A 21330-nucleotide genomic window follows, 5' to 3' on the forward strand; every position below is an offset into this window, starting at 1 on the left:
GAAAAGAAAAGTTTGCAGCCAAAATCTCTCCCTAGTCTGGTTTGCCCCAGCCATGGCAGTTACCATGTTCTCTCCTCCTGCTTAAAGTGCCCCAACACTTTCTTTCTGCCAGATGTTTCCCATTCCTGTTGTGCCATCTTCTGTGTTCAGTATCCTTTTATTTTGTCAAACACAAGATTTGGAAGTGGGAGATAGTTTTTCATTTTGAGTATAAACCAGGGTAACTTTTAAAACTCCATTTTAATTCTTGTTTGTAAAATACAGTTTTCCAAAATTTTTATATTACATTCATAATAGCCAAATTTATCAAATATTTTCCTCTTCATTCTGCTGTAGTTTTACCCCTCCCATTTTCTTCCCAAAGCCATTACCATGACTGAGGCTTCTATTCTTTATGGACTAAGGCAGAAAACTCCAAATTTTGACTCTTACTTCCTTTCAAATCATCCTTTATTAATATAACATTTATTTTTCTAAGGAAAACCTTTTTTCCCCTCCATAACTTGGTTCTGTAGCCAACCTTACGTCTAAGCTTCTTCTATAGCAAAGCAGATCTTATTGTTGCATGAACAAACCATGACAGATTCTGTGAGGACTTTCTAAATGCTCTTTCCTTCTCCTGGAATCTCCTAGCTATGCTTAACCAATAAAAATCAGATAATGCTCCAGCATGCTCCAGAAGCCCTCTCAGTTGTTACTTATTTCCCCTTCTGTGTTTCTAGTACCAATATATTACTTAAATAATAATTTCCATAAAAGTTATGTTTTAAACTAGGCAAGTTCAGATATGGCACTTGAATAAACAGGAATTATTTGGGGAGAATTTTAAAGTGTATACATATAAATGATTCAAATGAAAGAACTTAAGACCAAATTTTAGTTTTACAGTTTATCATTTTTATCAGGTTATAGTTAATTACTAGCTAAACTTAATAGAATAATTACACTTTAAAAAAATAAGTCAATTTTTGTTGAAAAGTAAAGAGCAGCGAGTCATCCAGGTTCTCATCTTTTCCCATTAAGTATTTACAGGAATTTAGCTGACTGTAAACTTCTGTAACTGACTGTAAACAGTCGAGATAACTCACTACCTTTGTACTGGTCTGAATCACTTCTGAAGTTTTTCTTAGGTTTCTCATGTGTAAAAGAACGTAATAACCACTTCCCTCTCCAGTCATTTGTTTTCTCATTTGTTTATTTATTTATTAAATATCTATTGAGGAACTAATATGCAATAGGTACTATATTAGATGCTAGTGATTTACACTAGAAATTATGCTAAAGATTATACCAATACACACACAAAAAAAGAGTACAGGTATTACAGTCTTCTTTGGGAGCCCAGATGAGGGAATGATTAATTCTGCTGATAGGAAAGTCAGGGAAGACTTTTTTTTGGAGGTTACGTGATGAGGAATTTTTTTTGTTTTTTTGAGATGGGGTCTCCCTCTGTCACCCAGGGTGGAGTACAGTGGTGCGATCTCAGCTCACTGGAACCTCTGCCTCTCAGGCTCAAGCAATCTTTCCAACCTCAGCCTCTCTAGTAGCTGGGACCACAGGTGCACGGCACCAGCCTGGCTAATCTTTTGTATTTTTGGTAGAGATGGGGTTTCGCCTTGTTACTCAGTCTGGTCTCAAACTCCTGAGCTCAGGCGATCCACCTGCCTCAGCCTCCCAAAATGCTGGGATTCCAGACCTGAGCCAACATGCCTGGCCGAGGAATTCTTTAGACAAAAAAAGGTGGAATGGTATACCAGGGAAAAGGAAATACCTGCCATGTTTGTTATTCTAACCTAACTGTTGCCGATAGAACTAGGTTGGAAAGGGGTTAATATCATGCTGGAGTGCTTATGCTTTATCCTTTAGACAAGGAGGATTTAACAGAACTTACAAGAAGGGAGCATGGAGGTGATATAAAAGGTTTGTGTTTTATAAAGGCAAAATTGATGAAGATGTAAATAGTAGATTAGATTAAGAAGATTGAGACCTGAAAACCAATTAAGAAGTTATAATGTTCTAAGAGCAAGGTGGGTGGGGACTTTAGTATTGTGGCAGTGTGAATATAAAGTAAGAAGAGTCAAAACATGTTTCAAAAGTAGAATCAGCCTTCACAGAGATCCTATATGAATCTAATAACAAATAGATGTGATCACAGTTTTTGAAACATGTGGACTTTTCATAGATTAAACATTATCATCATTCTTATTTTAAAGATTTGTGCATTTATAAAAGCCTGGCATAACAAGCACTAGTAGTGTTTGTGACATTGCCATATTCAATATCTTTTATTTATTTTATTTTATTTTATTTATTTATGTATTTGAGATGGAGTCTCGCTTTGTCACTCAGGCTGGAGTACAGTGGCGCGATCTCGGCTCACTGCAACCTCCACCTCCCGCGTTCAAGCAATTCTCTGCCTCAACCTCCCGCGTAGCTGGGATTACAGGCACCTGCCACCACGCCTGGCTAATTTTTGTATTTTTAGTAGAGATGGTGTTTCATCATCTTGGCCAGGCTGGTCTTGAACTCCTGACCTCATGATCCACCAGCCTTGGCCTCCCAAAGTGTTGGGATTACAGGCGTGAGCCACCATGCCCAATCTTTTATTAATTTAGACGCTAATGCTTGAAGATTAAGACTGTGTCTTCAAATTTTTAGTGATGTTAGTGACTATATTTTTTGGTAAAATATATATTTAAGTATATAACTTTTAACATTACTTTGTGTTAATGGTTAACTCATTATTGTGTAAACTGTTCAAATACACATTTTAACATCTTATTTTTGTGTAATTTTTCCTGGTATTCTGAAAAATTCAGTACGTTTGAAAACAATAATTTGAAAAGCAAAATACTGAAAAGTATAACACCCAAAGAATCTAATCTTCTTTAGTATTCTACATGTATGCCTCTGAAAGGTCAGTTCTTGTTTTAAAATTTTTATTACGTACCAGCTACCACCCAGCAATTTTTAATACCTGTTGATGGTGATAACTATTGAGAATTACTGACATTCTAACCAATTTACATCTACTTTATATATCTTCAGAACTCCCATTAATTCTCATTTAAATTACCTATATGATAAGAGGTGCATATAAAAGAATCTCTTTTGGTCTGGTAGAATCTGTTGAGAGAAAAATAGGTGATAGACTTTTTTTCTGAACAAGAGTTGAACCAGTAACTATATTTTTGTCCAGAATGTTCCCTAGATTTATGTATCTGCCAAATTAAACTTGTAGACTTGGAATAGCTTAATTTCTAAAGAATATGCTAAAGTTAAATAAAATTAAGAAAGTAACAAAAATAGTACTTTCTTAGGTTGCTGAACTAAAAATATCTTTAAAATTGATAATTTCTTCCTCTCAGAGTCTTGTCCAATTTTATTTCCTATTAATCAAGGTGAGTCATAAATGATTGCTTATACTGTTTTTCAAAACTTTGTGGTACGATACTTATTTGTAATACATACCTTGGTTGGATGAAAGCATTTCTCAGTTGTGCTTAGAGCTTTCTTTTTGCTAACACTTCTGAAACTCCACAAACTAATTCACAGTTCTGTATGTCCCAGGTGAAAGATTTCCCTTTGAATTTAGTTCTTAGTAAAACTTTATCTATGCCTCTCCTCCTAAACTGATATGTTTCATTCCTTTTGATAATAAAAATTATGTCATTTACTTACAGCGTTTCAGTCAGCAAAGTAGAACAAATACTAGGTATTTCAATGGATAATTTAATATAGAGAATTGGTAACACATGTTGGAGAGCTCAAAGAGCAAAAAGGGAACAGTGGAATAACTGAGATATTTGCAGGAAGCAGCTACCTCCCCTAGAGCTAGAGGAACACAGGGAATCAAAGAGTCTGAGCTAATCTGAATGTAGAATTGGAGAAAGACCCCTCGGAGCCAGACTTAGACCTCTGAGGAAGGAGTGCTGCTCTTCAGAAGTACTGATGTGTTTGAGGGGGGGATTCTTTGGCTGAGGCTGAGGGTGCCAAATTAAGCTGGATACTGGAGCCAACTGCTGTTGTTGGAAGGATACTGAAAAGAATCTCAAATGAACAGGAAGAAGGAAGTTCCTTTTCCTCTATTCCTGCTTCACGTTCTTGTATAGAAATTCCACTGGCAGAACCTAATAGGACATCATCTGTAAAGAAGAACTTCAGTTTGCAGAGTTAGCCCCAGCTTCACAAACATACATGCTGAGAGATAATACCTCCTACATAATAGAATATGCCTTTTCATTTGCACGTCCTTTATTGGTTTTTTTCTCTAATGTTTTGCTTCTTGATTTGGGTGGTTAGTTTGGTAATTCTTTCTCCTTTTAAATCTTTATTTTTTTTTTTTTGAGATGGAGTCTCGCTCTATTGTCCAGGCTGGAGTGCAGTGGCGCAATCTTGGCTCACTGCAAGCTCTGCCTCCCGCGTTCACGCCATTCTCCTGCCTCAGCCTCCCGAGTAGCTGAGACCACAGGTACCCACCACCACGCCCAGCTAATTTTTTTGTATTTTTAGTAGGGACGGGGTTTCACCATGTTAGCCAGGATGGTCTCCATCTCCTGACCTCATGATCTGCCCGCCTCAGCCTCCCAAAGTGCTGGGATTACAGACGTGAACCACCATGCCCGGCCTCTCCTTTTAAAAATCTTAATAAAAGCACTGAAGGCTATATTACTGAGCACCATTTTAACTATAACCCACAGCTTGATAGGCATGTTTTCATTATTGTTCACTTTTAAATATTTTCTAAATTTCATTGTAACTTCATCTTCTATGCTCCATTTTTTTACTCATTCTTTACTGTCTTGATTACCTTTTAGGTATAGATGTCTATTATGTATGACTACATTATGACTAGAGAATATGGTCTTATGACAGTAATCTTTTGAAATTTGTTGGGATTTGCTTTATGGCCCACTATGCAATAACATTTTGTTATGTTTGAAAAGAATGAATATTCTGCTATTGTTGACTGCTGTCCTCCCATTTTATCCTTTAGTGTAAAATGTTTTAATTCAAAGCTTATACTACTACACATACACAAAATGGTATTTTGTTCATTTGTTTTATTTATACAGGTTCAGAATGTTATCTCTTCTTGATATATTGAACATTTGTCATCGTAAAGTGATTCCCTTTAGCGCTTATGTTTTTCCTATTTTTCTGATATTAATATGTCAGTTTTCTTTTGGTTATTTTTTGCTAGATATATCCTAATTTATACTTTTAACGTTAACTTTCTCGAGTTTTTCTATGGGTGCCTCTTATAAAGAGCCTATAGCTGGATTATGCCTGATCTATAACTGGAATATTTAGTCTGTTTACATTAATTTGGATTAATTATACATTTTATATTTTTTATACTTTTTTTTACTCATCTTCCTTTGGACTGATTATTTTCTAATGTTTCTTTTTCCTAGTTTACAACTTATATGCATTTTTTACTTTTTAGTTGGTATTCTGTATGTTTTTTGTACATACATAGCTTATCAAAGTTAAACTCAGTATATTTGCATAACTCCCAGACAGTTCAAGAAGCTTAGTATATTGTACTCAATTCCAACTTTATATGCAGTTATGATTTTATATTTTAGTCTGTCTTTCTTGTTGTTGTAGTCATGTACATAATGCTTATTTGGATTTGCCCCATGTTTATCACTTGTATTGTTCTTTATTTCTTCCTGTATCTCAGACATTCTGTTTGGTTTCACTTTGCATCTGCTTATAGTGTAGAAAGTATCTTTTGGTTGTGAACTCTTGAGTTTTTATCTGAAAATGCCTTTAATTTGCCCTCTGTCTTAAAGGGTATGTTATTCTGTATTAACATCTAATGTCTCATTATACTGAAGGTAGATTTGAGATAGAATTCTGTCTTTTCTGGTTTCTGTTGTTGAGAAGTCAATTTTTGCTTCTTTGATCTATCTTTTCTTGCTGCTTTTAAGATCTCTTTACCTTGATTTTCTGCAGTTATACTGTTGAGATTGGGTATGGAATTGTGTTCTTTTTCTCTTTAATTCATTTTTTTAAAAAATTGGGTAAGATTTAATGGGCTTTTTGAATTTTCATTAGTGGTGTTGATCAGTACTATCAACATCTGAGTTACTCTTTAAATTTTGACTACTTCACTATCTCTCTTTTCTGGAACTCTGATATTGGATGTATGTTAGACCTTTCTCTCTCTGTTCATCATGTGTCTTATTTCTCATAATTTCCATCTTTTTTTCTACATGATGCATTCTGAATAAATTCTACAGAACTGTCTTCTGGTTCACTGTTTTTTTTCAGCTGAATCTGATCTGTCAGCATGTTACATTCTCAGTGTTTCTGTGTAAAAAACCCTAGTCTTATGACTCTTCATCTACCATAGAATTAAATTTGTAGCCATTGCCTAGTTTATTGGTCTGATCAGAAAGGATAATAAAACTTATATTAGCTTCCAGAAAAGGGCCAAAGGGCCTAAAATCCTATATTAAATCCAGAGTCCTGGAGGGACTATAGCATTATCTCCTTAAATATTTACATATCAAAAGGAATAAAGCTCTAAAACTTGGAATCATCTCTAGGTCATCTGGCTCCTGGAGAGATTTTATTTACGTACCACAGTGTTCTTTAAAATTCAGTCACATTACATTTCCTAGACATCCCCTTTCAAAGGAAAGAGGACAGCTGCCTTCTTCCTCTTTATAAGCAGAGAAAAACCATTTTTCTCTACCCCTTGTACCTAGCCAATGGAAGATCTGTCTACTTGAATAGGATAATTGATCTGGTTTTCATGTGGCTGCCCCAGAAATAAGGCCTGGGGCAAGAAGGTAGGGGCAACACACTTAGTTACTATGAGAGAATTAATAAGCAATCTGATCTAGAATACCTCTGTTCACATTCAACATGAGGTAAATAAAGATGAAGATTAAAAAGTCAACACTTAGCTTTCTGAATAATCATGCCTTACTTCTGAACTCGTAGTTACATTTGTTGCATTTAAGAATATGCTTTAATATGTTATTCAACATTTTTGGTTGTTTTCAGCAGCAGCTAGCCCTACTTGAAATAGAAGCTGAAATAATCTTTTTATTTTGAGCAACTGTGAAATAAGTTATATATGTGTATTAAATGATTATGCTTTGTTTGTAGACTTCCTTTTTTTGTTCACTGGTGATGTTATGTGGTATTGGAATTATTTTTTGTTTTCTCATTGAGTCTCTACAGTAGCTGTTGAAATGCTAACTCTTCCTTTTAGCCATAAAGTTATTGAACCAATTAGCTTACTCTTTGAGAGCAGTTGGGCTCTCCTCATACTTTAAAACACACCACACACACACACACACAAAAGTATTTTGGGCTATCTTATTGGCTTTCTTTTTTTTATTATTATTATACTTTAAGTTTTAGAGTACATGTGCACAGCGTGCAGGTTTGTTACATATGTATACATGTGCCATGTTGGTGTGCTGCACCCATTAACTCATCATGTAACGTTAGATATATCTCCTAATGCTATCCCTCCACACTCCCCCCACCCCACAACAGGCCCCAGTGTGTGATGTTCCCCTTCCTGTGTACATGTGTTCTCATTGTTCAATTCCCACCTATGAGTGAGAACATGTGGTGTTTGTTTTTTTGTCCTTGCAATAGTTTGCTGAGAATGATGGTTTCCAGCTTCATCCATGTCCCTACAAAGGACATGAACTCATCATTTTTTGTGGCTGCATAGTATTCCATGGTGTGTATGTGCCACATTTTCTTAATCCAGTCTATCGTTGTTGGACATTTGGGTTGGTTCCAAGTCTTTGCTATTGTGAATAGTGCAGCAATAAACATACGTGTGCATGTGTCTTTATAGCAGCATGATTTATAATCCTTTGGGTATATACCCAGTAATGGGATGGCTGGGTCAAATGGTATTTCTAGTTCTAGATCCCTGAGGAATCGCCGTACTGACTTCCACAATGGTTGAACTAGTTTACAGTCCCACCAACAGTGTAAAAGTGCTCCTATTTCTCCACATCCTCTCCAGCACCTGTTGTTTCCTGACTTTTTAATGATTGACATTCTAACTGGTGTGAGATGGTATCTCATTGTGGTTTTGATTTGTATTTCTCTGATGGCCAGTGATGATGAGCATTTTTTCATGTGTCTTTTGGCTGCATAGATGTCTTCTTTTGAGAAGTGTCTGTTCATATCCTTCACCTACTTGTTGATGGGGTTCTTTGTTTTTCTCTTGCAAATTTGTTTGAGTTCATTGTAGATTCTAGATATTAGCCCTTTGTCAGATGAGTAGATTGCAAAAATTTTCTCCTATTCTGTCAGTTGCCTGTTCTCTCTGATGGTAATTTCTTTTGCTGTGCAGAAGCTCTTTAGTTTAATTAGATCTCATTTGTCAATTTTGGCTTTTGTTGCCATTGCTTTTGGTGTTTTAGACATGCAGTCCTTGCCCATGCCTATGTCCTGAATGGTATTGCCTAGGTTTTCTTCTAGGGTTTTTATGGTTTGAGGTCAAACATTTAAGTCTTTAATCCATCTTGAATTAATTTTTATATAAGGTGTAAGGAAGGGATCCAGTTTCAGCTTTCTATATATGGCTAGCCAGTTTTCCCAGCACCATTTATTAAAATAGGGAATCCTTTCCCCATTTCTTGTTTTTGTCACGTTTGTCAAAGATCAGATAGTTGTAGATATGTGGCATTATTTCTGAGAGTTCTGTTCTGTTCCATTGGTCTATATCTCTGTTTTGGTATCAGTACCATGCTGTTTTGGTTACTGTAGCCTTGTAGTATAGTTTGAAGTCAGGTAGTGTGATGCCTCCAGCTTTGTTTTTTGGCTTGGGATTGACTTGGCAATGCAGGCTCTTTTTTGGTTCCATATGAACTTTAAAGTAGTTTTTTTCCAATTCTGTGAAGAAAGTCATTGGTAGCTTGATGGGGATGGCATTGAATCTATAAATTACCTTGGGATGTATGGCCATTTTCACGATAATGATTCTTCCTACCCATGAGCATGGAATGTTCTTCGATTTGTTTGTATCCTCTTTTATTTCCTTGAGCAGTGGTTTGTAGTTCTCCTTGAAGAGGTCCTTCACATCCCTTGTAAGTTGGATTCCTAGGTATTTTATTCTCTTTGAAGCAATTGTGAATGGGAGTTCACTCATGATTTGGCTCTCTGTTTGTCTGTTATTGGTGTATAAGAATGCCTGTGATTTTTGCACATTGATTTTGTATCCTGAGACTTTGCTGAAGTTGCTTATCAGCTTAAGGAGATTCTGGGCTGAGACAATGAGGTTTTCTAGATATACAATCATGTCATCTGCAAAGAGGGACAATTTGACTTCCTCTTTTCCTAATTGAATATCCTTTATTTCCTTCTCCTGCCTGATTGCCCTGGCCAGAACTTCCAACATTATGTTGAATAGGAATGGTGAGAGAGGGCATCCCTGTCTTGTGCCAGTTTTCAAAGGGAATGCTTCCAGTTTTTGCCCATTCAGTATGATATTGGCTGTGGGTTTCTCATAGATAGCTCTTATTTTGAGATATGTCCCATCAATACCTAATTTATTGAGAGTTTTTAGCATGAAGGTTGTTGAATTTTGTCAAAGGCCTTTTCTGTATCTATTGAGGTGATAATAAGGTGGTTTTTGTCATTGGTTCTGTTTATATGCTGGATTACATTTATTGATTTGCGTATGTTGTACCAGCCTTGCATCCCAGGGTTGAAGCCCACTTCATCATGGTGGATAAGATTTTTGATGTGCTGCTGGATTTGGTTTGCCAGTATTTTATTGAGGATTTTTGCATTGATGTTCATCAGGGATATTGTCTAAAATTCCCTTTTTTTGTTGTGTCTCTGCCAGGCTTTGTTATGAGGATGATGCTGGCCTCTTAAAATGAGTTAGGGAGGATTCCCTCTTTTTCTATTGATTGGAATAGTTTCAGAAGGAATGGTACCAGCTCCTCCTTGTACCTCTGGTAGAATTCAGCTGTGAATCCATCTGGTCCTGGACTTTTTTTGGTTGGCAAGCTATGAACTATTGCCTCAATTTCAGATGCTGTTATTGATCTATTCAGAGATTCAACTTCTCCTGGTTTAGTCTTGGGAGGGTGTATGTGTCGAGGAATTTATCCATTTCTTCTACATTTTCTAGTTTATTTGTGTAGAGGTGTTTATAGTATTCTCTGATGGTAGTTTGTATTTCTGTGGGATCGGTGGTGATACCCCCTTTAACATTTTTTATTGCATCTATTTGATTCTGCTCTCTTTTCTTATTAGTGTTGCTAGCAGTCTATCAATTTTGTTGATCTTTTCAAAAAACCACCTCCTGGATTCATTGATTTCTTGAAGGGTTTTTTGTGTCTCTATTTCCTTCATTTCTGCTCTGATCTTAGTTATTTCTTGCTTTCAGCTAGCTGTTGAATGTGTTTGCTCTTGCTTCTCTAGTTTTTTAATTGTGATGTTAGGGTGTCAATTTTGGATCTTTCCTGCTTTCTCTTGTGGGCATTTAGTGCTATAAATTTCCCTCTACACACTGCTTTGAATGTGTCCCAGAGATTCTGGTATGTTGTGTCTTTGTTCTCGTTAGTTTCAAAGAACATCTTTATTTCTGCCTTCATTTCGTTATGTACCCAGTAGTCATTCAGGAGCAGGTTGTTCAGTTTCCATGTAATTGAGTGGTTTTGAGTGAGTTTCTTAATCCTGAGTTCTAGTTTGATTGCACTGTGGTCTGAGAGACAGTTTGTTATAATTTCTGTTCTTTTATATTCGCTGAGGAGTGCTTTACCTCCAACTATGTGGTCAATTTTGGAATAGGTGTGGTGTGGTGCTGAGAAGAATGTATATTCTGTTGATTTTGGGTGGAGAGTTCTGTAGATGTCTATTAGGTCCACTTGGTGCAGAGCTGAGTTCAATTCCTGGATATCCTTGCGAAATTTCTGTCTTGTGGATCTGTCTAATGTTGACAGTGGGGTGTTAAAGTCTCCCATTATTATTGTGTGGGAGTCTAAGTCTCTTTGTAGGTCTCTAAGGACTTCCTTTATGAATCTGGGTGCTGCTGTATTGGGTGCATATATATTTAGGATAGTTAGCTCTTCTTGTTGTATGGATCCCTTTACCATTATGTAATGGCCTTCTTTGTCTCTTTTGATCTTTGTTGGCTTAAAGTCTGTTTTATCAGAGACTAGGATTGCAACCCCTGCCTTTTTTTGTTTTCCATTTGCTTGATAGATTTTCCTCCATCCCTTTATTTTGAGTCTATATGTGTCTCTGCACATGAGATGGGTTTCCTGAATACAGCACACTGATGGGTCTTGACTCTTTATCCAATTTACCAGTCTGTGTCTTTTAATTGGAGCATTTAGCCCATTTACATTTAAGGTTAGTATTGTTATGTGTGAATTTGATCCTGTCATTATGATGTTAGCTGGTTATTTTGCTCGTTAGTTGATGCAGCTTCTTCCTAGCCTTGATGGGCTTTACAATTTGGCATGTTTTTGCAGTGGCTGGTACCAGTTGTTCCTTTCCATGTTGAGTGCTTCCTTCAGGAGCTCTTGTAGGGCAGGCCCGGTGGTGACAAAATCTCTCAGCACTTGCTTGTCTATAAAGTATTTTATTTCTCCTTCACTTAGGAAGTTTAGTTTGGCTGGATATGAAATTCTGGGTTGAAAATTCTTTTCTTAAGAATGTTGAATATTGGCCCCCACTCTCTTCTGGCTTGTAGAGTTTCTGCCAAGAGATCAGCTGTTAGTCTGATGGGCTTCCCTTTGTGGGTAACCCGACCTTTCTCTCTGGCTGCCCTTACCATTTTTTCCTTCATTTCAACTTTGGTGAATCTGACAATTATGTGTTTTGGAGTTGCTCTTCTCGAGGAGTATCTTTGTGGCATTCTCTGTATTTCCTGAATCTGAATGTTGGCCTGTCTTGCTAGATTGGGGAAATTCTCCCTGATAATATCCTGCAGAGTGTTTTCCAACTTGGTTCCATTCTTCCCATCAGTTTCAGGTACGCCAATCAGACGTAGATTTGGTCTTTTCACATAGTCCCATATTTCTTGGAGGCTTTGTTCATTTCTTTTTACTCTTTTTTCTCTAAACTTCTCTTCTCGCTTCATTTCATTCTTTTGATCTTCAATCACTGATATCCTTTCTTCCAGTTGATTGAATTGGCTACTGAAGCTTGTGCATTCATCACGTAGTTCTTATGCCCTGGTTTTCAGCTCCATGAGGTCATTTAAGGACTTCTCTACACTGGTTATTTTAGTTAGCCATTCATCTAATCTTTTTTCAAGGTTTTTAGCTTCTTTGCGATGGGTTCAGACTTCCTCCTTTAGCTCGGAGAAGTTTGATTGTTTGAAGCCTACTTCTCTCAACTCGTCAAAGTCATTCTCTGTCCAGCTTTGTTCTGTTGCTGGTAAGGAGCTGTGTTCCTTTGGAAGGGAAGAGGCGCTCTGATTTTTAGAATTTTCAGCTTTTCTGCTCTGTTTTTTCCCCATCTTTGTGATTTTATCTACCTTTGGTCTTTGATGATGGTGATGTACAGATGGGGTTTTGGTGTGGATGTCCCTTCTGTTTGTTAGTTTTCCTTCTAACAGTAAAGACCCTCAGCTGCAGGTCTGTTAGAGTTTGCTGGAGGTCCGCTCCAGACCCTGTTTGCCTGGGTATCAGCAGCAGAGGCTTTAGAACAGCCAATATTGCTGAACAGCAAATGTTGCTGCCTGATCCTTCCTCTGGAAGCTTTGTCTCAGAGGGGTACCCAGCCGTGTGAGGTGTCATTGTGCCCCTACTGGGGGGTGCCTCCCAGTTAGGCTACTCGGGGGTCAGGGACCCACTTGAGGAGGCAGTCTGTCTGTTCTCAGATCTCAAACTCCGTGCTGGGAGAACCACTACTCTCTTCAAAGCTGTCAGACAGGGACATTTAAGTCCGCAGAGGACATTTCTGCTGCCTTTTGTTTGGCTATGCCCTGCCCGCAGAGGTGGAGTCTACAGAGGCAGGCAGCCCTCCTTGAGCTGCGGTGGACTCCACCCAGTTCGAGCTTCCCGGCCACTTTGTTTACCTACTCAAGCCTGGGCAATGGCGGGCGCCCCTCCCCCAGCCTCCTGCTGCCTTGCAGTTTGATCTCAGACTGCTGTGCTAGCAATGAGCTAGGCTCCATGGGCATAGGACCCTCCAAGCCAGGTGCAGGATACAATCTCCTGGTGTGCCGTTTGCTAAGACCGTTGGAAAAGCACAGTATTAGGTTGGGAGTGACCTGACTTTCCAGGTGCCATCTGTCACCCCTTTCCTTGGCTAGGAAAGGGAATTCCCTGACCCCTTGCGCTTACTGGGTGAGGTGATGCCTCGCCCTGCTTCGGCTCACACTTGGTGCGCTGCACCCACTGTCCGACAATCCGCAGTGAGATGAACCCGGTACCTCAGCTGGAAATGCAGAAATCTTTCGTCTTCTGCGTCGCTCACGCTGGGAGCTTTAGACTGGAGCTGTTCCTATTCGGCCATCTTGGCTCCACCCCTATCTTATTGGCTTTCTAAGAATCAGTCATGCACATAAACCACACCAAAAGGCATTTCATGGAAAAATATACATCATTTGATTTTTAGGGGGTATGGAGGCAAAGATAAACTTTTCAGTGTAAGTCAATTTTGGAAAAAAAAAAAGTCTTCCTGTTGGTTTCCTTTAAGCAAGTACAAAAATCTCAAATGTATGATATTGTATGTTATTCTTCATAACCCACCCTTCTCTCACACTCTTATATTCCTGAAACTATTTTTTTTTTTTTTGAAATGGAGTTTCGCTCTTGTCACCCAGGCTGGAGTGCAATGGTGTGATCTCAGCTCACTGCAACCTCCGCCTCCCAGGTTCAAGCGATTCTCCTGCCTCAGCCTCCCAAGTAGCTGGGATTACAGGTGTGCACCACCATGCCCAGCTAATTTTTGTGTTTTTAGTAGAGACGGGGTTTCACCATGTTGGCCAGGCTGCTCTTGAACTCCTGACCTCAGGTGATCCACACACCTCAGCCTCCCAAAGTGCTGGGATTACAGGTGTGAGCCATGGCACCCAGCCAGAACTTAAAATGTAACAAAATAACTTTGTACTGAAAGGCATATGCCTGACACATAGTCAGTACTCCATGAAAATTAGCTATTCTTCCTCTTAAATATCATGGTCTGTGTTAGGCCTCTTAATGTGAGATTGTATTGTTACTCTATTATTCTACTAGTTTGCCTGTTTACTTGATAGCTTCACAGAGCAGAATCATTCCTCAGGCCAAATTATGGAGCAGATATCATATTAAAGATACTTTCCTAGAAATAAAAATTTTTATTAATGTGCCATCTTTTCTATTAATAGCCTACTTCAAAAATTATTTGCTTTAAAATTATTTACTCATTTCATATGCCTTGAAAGTTTCATAGTTTTTATTAAAATGGCAAAATCACAATTACTTTTGCACCAACTTTATTTCAAACAAAAGCCCCTTTGTATTAGTGTTCTGTAGGTTTCTCCTGATTTTTCTTTTAGAAATATGTAATAGCATTAGCTTCCATGCCTCAGATCTTTCAGAATACTCCTGTATTAGTCCATTTCACGCACTGATAATGACACACCGGGACTGGGCAATTTATAAAAGAAAGAGGTTTAATGAACTTATAGTTCCATATGGCTGGGGAGGCCTCACAGTCATGGCGGAAGGCGAGGAGGAGTTAAGTCACTTCTTATGTGGATGCGGGCAGGCAAAGAGAGAGAGCTTGTGCTGGAGAACTCCTCTTTATAAGACTATCAGATTTCATGAGACTTATTCACTATCACGAGTACAGCATGGGAAAGACCTACCCCTATTATTCAATTACCTCCCACTGGGTCCCTCCCACAACATATGGGAATTCAAGATGAGATTTGGGTGGGGACACAGCCAAACCATATCAACTCCCCTTCTCTTTTAGCCTTGGCTTTACTTGATCTACTAGTTTCCTGTGTTTTTGCCCTTTATTTCAGCTCTTCAACACTTCTGATTTAAACAATTTATTGGGTATTTATTACTTACTTTCCCTGGTTGAATTCTGCTTGCTCAATTAAATAACATATCTTTAATTGCAATTAAAACATGACTGTTTGGGTTTTATTTGATCCACTTGACAATTTGCTATGAAAAGGAATACGGATCTCCGAATCTGTAGGTTCCACATCTGCAAATTCAACCAACCATAGATTGAAAATATCCTGAAATAAAAAACACAATACAGTATAACAACTACTTACGTAATGCTTACTTACATTGTATTAGGTGTTATAAGTAACCTAGAGATTATTTAAAGTATACAGAATTATGTGTGCAGTTTATGTGCAAATACTACCCCATTTTATATAAGAAATTTGAGCATCCATAGATTTTGGTATTGAGGGAGGCTCAATACCAAGAGGAGGGTAGGGAAGGGAATAAAAAAGGAAAGAAAATAGCATTATGAGTTTGGTGAGTTCAAAGAGTTGAAAGATTATAGAATTTCTAGCTACCCATTTTATAGGATAGCCATCTGCCTTACTGTACCAAAAGCCAATTATTAGTGGACAAACAGAGCTAATACAAAGGAGCTTTTGTTTGAAATAAGGTTGGTGCAAAAGTAATTGCGATGTGGATACCCTGTGCTATGGGAGGGGAGGGGATCCAATCCCCTGAGGTATGACTATAGTTGTTACTAGGTATAAAAGGTTTAGAAATCCAAGCTCTGTCCACTAATAACTGGCTTTTGGTACAGTAAGGCAGCCAGCTATCCTGTGAAATGGGTGGCAAGAAATTCTATAATCTTTGAATTCCCTGAACTCACCAAACTCAAAATGCTGTTTTCTTTCCTTTTTTATTCCCTTCCCTACCCTCCTCTTTCCACAGTTTTGCCAGAAATCCACTTGTGGATTTAATTTAATGCAGATATGTACATAATATACAGACATGCAGATATGGGCATAATTTAATCCAGATATGTAATATTTTGACCTTTCTGATCGTAGATGCTTGGGAAAGTTGTCTGTTGAACTTGCATTAATCAGTTATGACATTTTAGATTGCAAGTAATTGGAAAACTCAGCTCAAACTGACTTATGTGAAAAATGGAAATGTATGGTGTATATGATTGAAAAGGTGTTAAAATGTTTTTTTCATAGCTTGTTTCAAGAAACTTGCAAGAATGTCATGAGGACCCAGTGATTTCTATATACATATATATTTCTTATTATGTATTATGTATATCCTCATATATAATATATATTCTGAAAGATCTGATGTGCTGGAATATATACATGCATATGATCATGTATGTTACATATGATCATTGTATCACTGATATACATATATATCATATATATATTTATGTATATGTACACACACACACACACACACACACTTCTCTGTATTGGCACCATTTTTCATACAGCATCTCTTTATTATCACAGAATTATTGCAGCTATTCTCTAATTTATGATCCCTCAGGTTCAAGTCTAGTAGAAAGAAACAGTTACCTATTTTTCAGAATACCCAGCAGAATTCTTACCACATTTCATTGTCTCTGTTTGGTCATGCTGCCATCCCTGAACCAGTCACTGTGGTCAAGAGAATGGAACGCTCTCATTAGTTAAGCCCCAATTCAAGTTGCAAATTAATTTGTGGAACTGAGTTGAATCAACTCTTCCAGAACTCTGTGGACTAAGACTTGGGAAAGGCTTCTGCCCAGACGATAGGAAATGATTATCTAAAGAGGAATGAAGGGTTACTTGAGGGCAAAGGTAGAATTTCCATTACATAGAAGTGAAGGTATTTTTCCCTTTTCTTTAACCCTTACAGATCCACTCCAACTTTGTTTTTACTTCTAATTTCCTTTTTTGCTTTTTAAAGTGACTGTTCATCGAGTCTTTTGTTATCTTTATCTTCCTTATCATAGAAAACATACATTGAACCAAGACATGATCATATAATCTGGAAAAAATACCTTTGTCCATTTGTTGATTACTGTTTTATAAGCTCTGGATAAATACAGCAGAGGCTACATTTTACATCTTATGAATTTCACTGAGTCACATATCTGAGAAGGACTCTGATGTTACCTAGACTCTATATCAATCCCCATAACACCTTGTACAAGTGATAATCTAGTTGAGAGGTTGGCAAACTGCAACTCAGGAATAGGCCAAATCTAGCCTGCTGCTAGTTTTTGTAAATACAGTTCTATTAAAACCCAGTCATACCTATTTGTTTATATTGTCTGTGACTATTTTCATCCTACAACAGCAGAATTGAGTAGTTGCAACAGAGACCTTACAGCCCACAAAGTCTGACGTGTTTACTCTCTGGACTTTTACGGATGAACATGCTAAACTCTGGTCTACCCATTGCTTGAGTGTACTCTGCTGACAAAAATTCTTTCTGAGGGAGAATCATTTCTAAAAGCTCAATTATCAACAAACAAAAAGAATGCTACTTTCATGTGTCATCCATTCACTTAGGTCTAAAATAGTATCCCACCTAGGAAATTGTTTCAGTTAAAACACAAACAACCTGGTTTCACACCTAAATTGTACCAAATTAGACAAATTTTTCTTGCCTAAATGAGTTTTCTTGCTTAATAGTTAAGTTTTAAATATTGATAACCTGTATACACACACACAGCATGGAGTACCACTCAGCCATAAAAAAGAATGAAATTATGTCTTCTGTAGCAATATGGGTGGAGCTGAAGGCCATTATCCTCAGTGAAATAACTCAGAAACAAAGTCAAATACCACATGTTCTGACTTATAAATGGGAGCTAAACAATGGGTACACATGGACATACAAAGTGGAATAATAGATATGGGGCACTGTAAAAGGTGGGAGGTGGGTAAGGGTTGAAAAAATACCTAAATAGTGCACATTGTACTTCATAGGTGATAAGTACTTTAAAAGTGTGGACTTCACCACTATGCATTATATACATGTAAGAAACCTGCACTTGTGTCTAAATCAATAAAAATAAATAGAGACAGAATGAGAGAAAGAAAGGCAGACAGAAAGGAATTAAGAAAACCTTATTCCCTCCTAGCAGCTCCATGATCAGATAATGATTTTGTCTGTATACACTGAGCTTTTTAAGGACAAGATGAACTTTAAAATGTCAAAAGCAATCCTTCAAAAATATACAATTCAATCAATTGTATTTACTCAATAAAAAAAAAACCCTAGTAATCAATTGAGTAAACATATGGCTGTCAGTTGCTAGTTTCATCAAAAAGCATACTGCATAGTCGTTGTAACATACTCATTTTGTGATTGTTAGCTATATTTGAATTATAAATGTTGAGTTTATTTTCAAGACTACGTAACATACAATTTAACATGTTGCTATTGCATAAATATGCTCCATTCATCTTTTGAGAATGTTTAAAGCAGCTGTATTTATTTTTAGAATTGAGTTAGTTTCAGCTTGGATATTGTGGGGATTGCTAAATCAACCTTTTAAAAAGTTTAGGCTGGACATGGTGGCTCATGCCTGTAATCCTAGCATTTTGGGAGGCCAAGACAGGTTGATCACTTGAGTCCTGGAGTTTGAGACCAGCCTGGGCAACATGGCAAATACCTGTCTCTACAAAAAATACAAAAATTAGCTGGGTGTGGTGATGGGTGCCTGTATTCCTAGCTACTCAGGAGGCTGAGGTGGGAGGATCACCTGAGCCCAGGAGGTCGAGGCTGCAGTAAGCCACTCCAGCCTTGGTGACAGACAGAGTAAGACCCTGTCAAGAAAAAGTTAATAAATAAAAAATAAAATGTTTAGTACATTTAGCTACCTATTTTCTTGGATTGTAGATAAATGGAATCTTGCTTCAATGATCTAAGTTTGAGTGTTTTTGTTCTATTAAGTGACAGTGCAAACAATGCTATCAACTTAATAAAATGGATTAAAATCCACAAAATATACTTTGAAACAAACTAAATTAGTACTTGTTAATCTTGCTTGGTATATGATTGATAAATATTTAAATACCACATATTATTTACTTCCAGGAACCCTGTTTTAATATAAAGGATTACAGAAGGTCTATAAGTCAAATTTTATTTGAATTTTATTACTTAGTTGATTTAGGATGGAGATGTGCTAAATATTATTTATTGCATGCTCTGACAAGTAGTTAATTCTAATTAATTTTTTATAATATTAGACATTTTCCCCCTCTGGATTCAGTATGAATGTATCTCAAAAATGATTTCAGAGTATTAATATTGTAAATGTAGCAGTGATAGGGATAAAAATGTCAACATTTAAGCTCATAGCCTGAATCTGCTTTTAGGAATGATTTTATGCTAATAAAATTTACTTAATGTTGATTTATTTAATGGCAGTAACCATGGTAGGTTAAATTACTTACTATGCTAAATAGATGAAAAAGCAACAGTGCCACCATAGACTCGTCAATGTGGCAACTAGTAGAATGAGGAGAAGGGATCCTTAATGAAGACTGTAAGCAGAATACATAGAGAAAATTAAGATAATGAGTAGTAGGTAAGAGAATAGCACTTTCCAAAATTATTTCTTGGCAGTTCTTTGACACTTTTAGACTATTATTGAAAGTGATCTTTTTCTTTTAATTATTGAAAGTGATTTTTTTTCTCTTAATAAGCTGTTTGGAAACAAATGGGATTCCTTCAGTTTTTCTTAAGAAACCCCAGAACTGTCATATATCACAGGCCTTGTTAAAGCATATATATAGAAATAAATACTAAGATATAATGTTCACTGATCTTGAGCACAAGATTTCGTTTTTCGTTTTACTGTGGTTTTGTGTTGTAATTTTCAAATTGAAAAAAATGCCCATTCACATTTTATTTTAAAACCATGATCTCTTCTGCTCTCTTTGTAGTGGTCGAGTAGTATTGCAGTTGTTCTGATCTCTTTGCATTGACTTACGGGATGCCATTTTTTCTACTTTCTTTTCTTACCATACTATTACTTAATGTGGTTTCCCTTTCACTGTTCTTAATTCTCATTTCCCACACCGTTTTTTTTTTGTTTTTTTTTTTGAGATGGAGTCTCACTCTGTCGCCCAGGCTGGAGGGCAGTGGCACAATCTTGGCTCACTGCAACCTCCATCTCCGGGGTTCAAGCAATTCTCCTGCCTCAACCTCTTGAGTGGCTGTGGTTACAGGTGCACACCACCATATTCGGCTAATTTTTTTTTTTTTTTTTTGTATTTTTAGTAGAGGCGGGGTTTCACCGTGTTGGCCAGACTGGTCTCAAACTCCTTACCTCAAATGCTCCACCTGCGTTGGCCCCCCAGAGTGCTGGGATTACAGATGGGAGCCACCGCGCCTGGCCCACACACCGCTTTAAATGTTGAGGAACTCCAGAATTCCCTTCCTGTGTATTTGCTGACTTAATACATTTGACCGTTTATAAAATAAAAGCATTTCAAAATAGTTTTTAAAACAGAATAGAACAAAAGGTTTAAATAAGTTTCAAAGCGTTTTATATATCAGTGATCTGTGTTACTATTCGGTAAATATTATGACATTTTTCTTTTAGAATTCAAACCTAATACATCAGAAAGTGCCTCCTCCTAACGATCGACAAGGATCTCCAATACTGTCATTCATCATTCTTGAACAATTTAATGCTATTCGTTTAGTACAAAGTGTCCACCAGTCTCTTGCTGCTCTCAGCAAAGTCATCAGAGGAACTACTTTACTGAGTTCAGAAGTACAAAAATTGGCAAGTGCTTTATTAAACCAAAAGGTAAGCGAGTACTAACTGTATGTATTTTTATTTCATTGTTATAAGTGACTCCTCCATCACACATATATTTGTCAGGAATCATATAGTTAATAGCAGAAGACCCGAGTCACACTGGCTTAAGCCATATAAAAATTAATTGACTGATGTAACTGAAGAATCCAATGGTATCTAGCATTATGCCAGCTTGATGTAGGAACTTAAATTGTCATTAGCATGTCAGTTTATGTTAGCTATCTAGTGTTACATATATAATGAAATTTATGTTGATTTCACTTTGGGGCAGGTCCCCTATACATGAGCTTGAGTTTTATATTCCAAGCTCCAAGTCCAACAGAAAGAACACGTGTTTTCTAGTAACACACACAAAAATCTTAGGATTTGCTTTGATTAAAACCAGTTGGCTCATGCGTTATGCCTATTCCCATACTAGTTCAGTGGGCAGTGTGTGCAAAGCTCTCACTGACCAGAGCTTCAGCCAAATGCCTCTTCCTGGAGCTGGGGATGGATTTATCTTTGCCTTTAACACATATACTGAGAGTAAGGAAATGATGATTACCAGTGAAAAGTCTAGATAGTTTTAGAAGAAGGGGAAATCAACACTTC

The 21330-nt window shown here is 37.2% G+C and overlaps 1 protein-coding gene across 5 annotated transcripts in view; it reads left to right on the forward strand.

The window, feature by feature from the left end:
• DYNC2H1 (dynein cytoplasmic 2 heavy chain 1) overlaps positions 1–21330 on the forward strand; it is a 370438-nt gene that overhangs the window by 269720 nt on the left and 79388 nt on the right. For 4 of the 5 annotated variants that reach the window (NM_001080463.2, NM_001377.3, XM_006718903.3 and 1 more), the window contains one exon: positions 20518–20727. The exons of the other annotated variant lie outside the window; for it this stretch is intronic. In NM_001080463.2, the coding sequence (NP_001073932.1) occupies positions 20518–20727 (210 nt within the window). The remainder of the gene's footprint in view (positions 1–20517; positions 20728–21330) is intronic. 5 annotated transcript variants of the gene reach the window in all.

Source organism: Homo sapiens, chromosome 11 (genome assembly GCF_000001405.40).
Source record: "Homo sapiens chromosome 11, GRCh38.p14 Primary Assembly".
Lineage (NCBI taxonomy): Eukaryota > Metazoa > Chordata > Mammalia > Primates > Hominidae > Homo > Homo sapiens.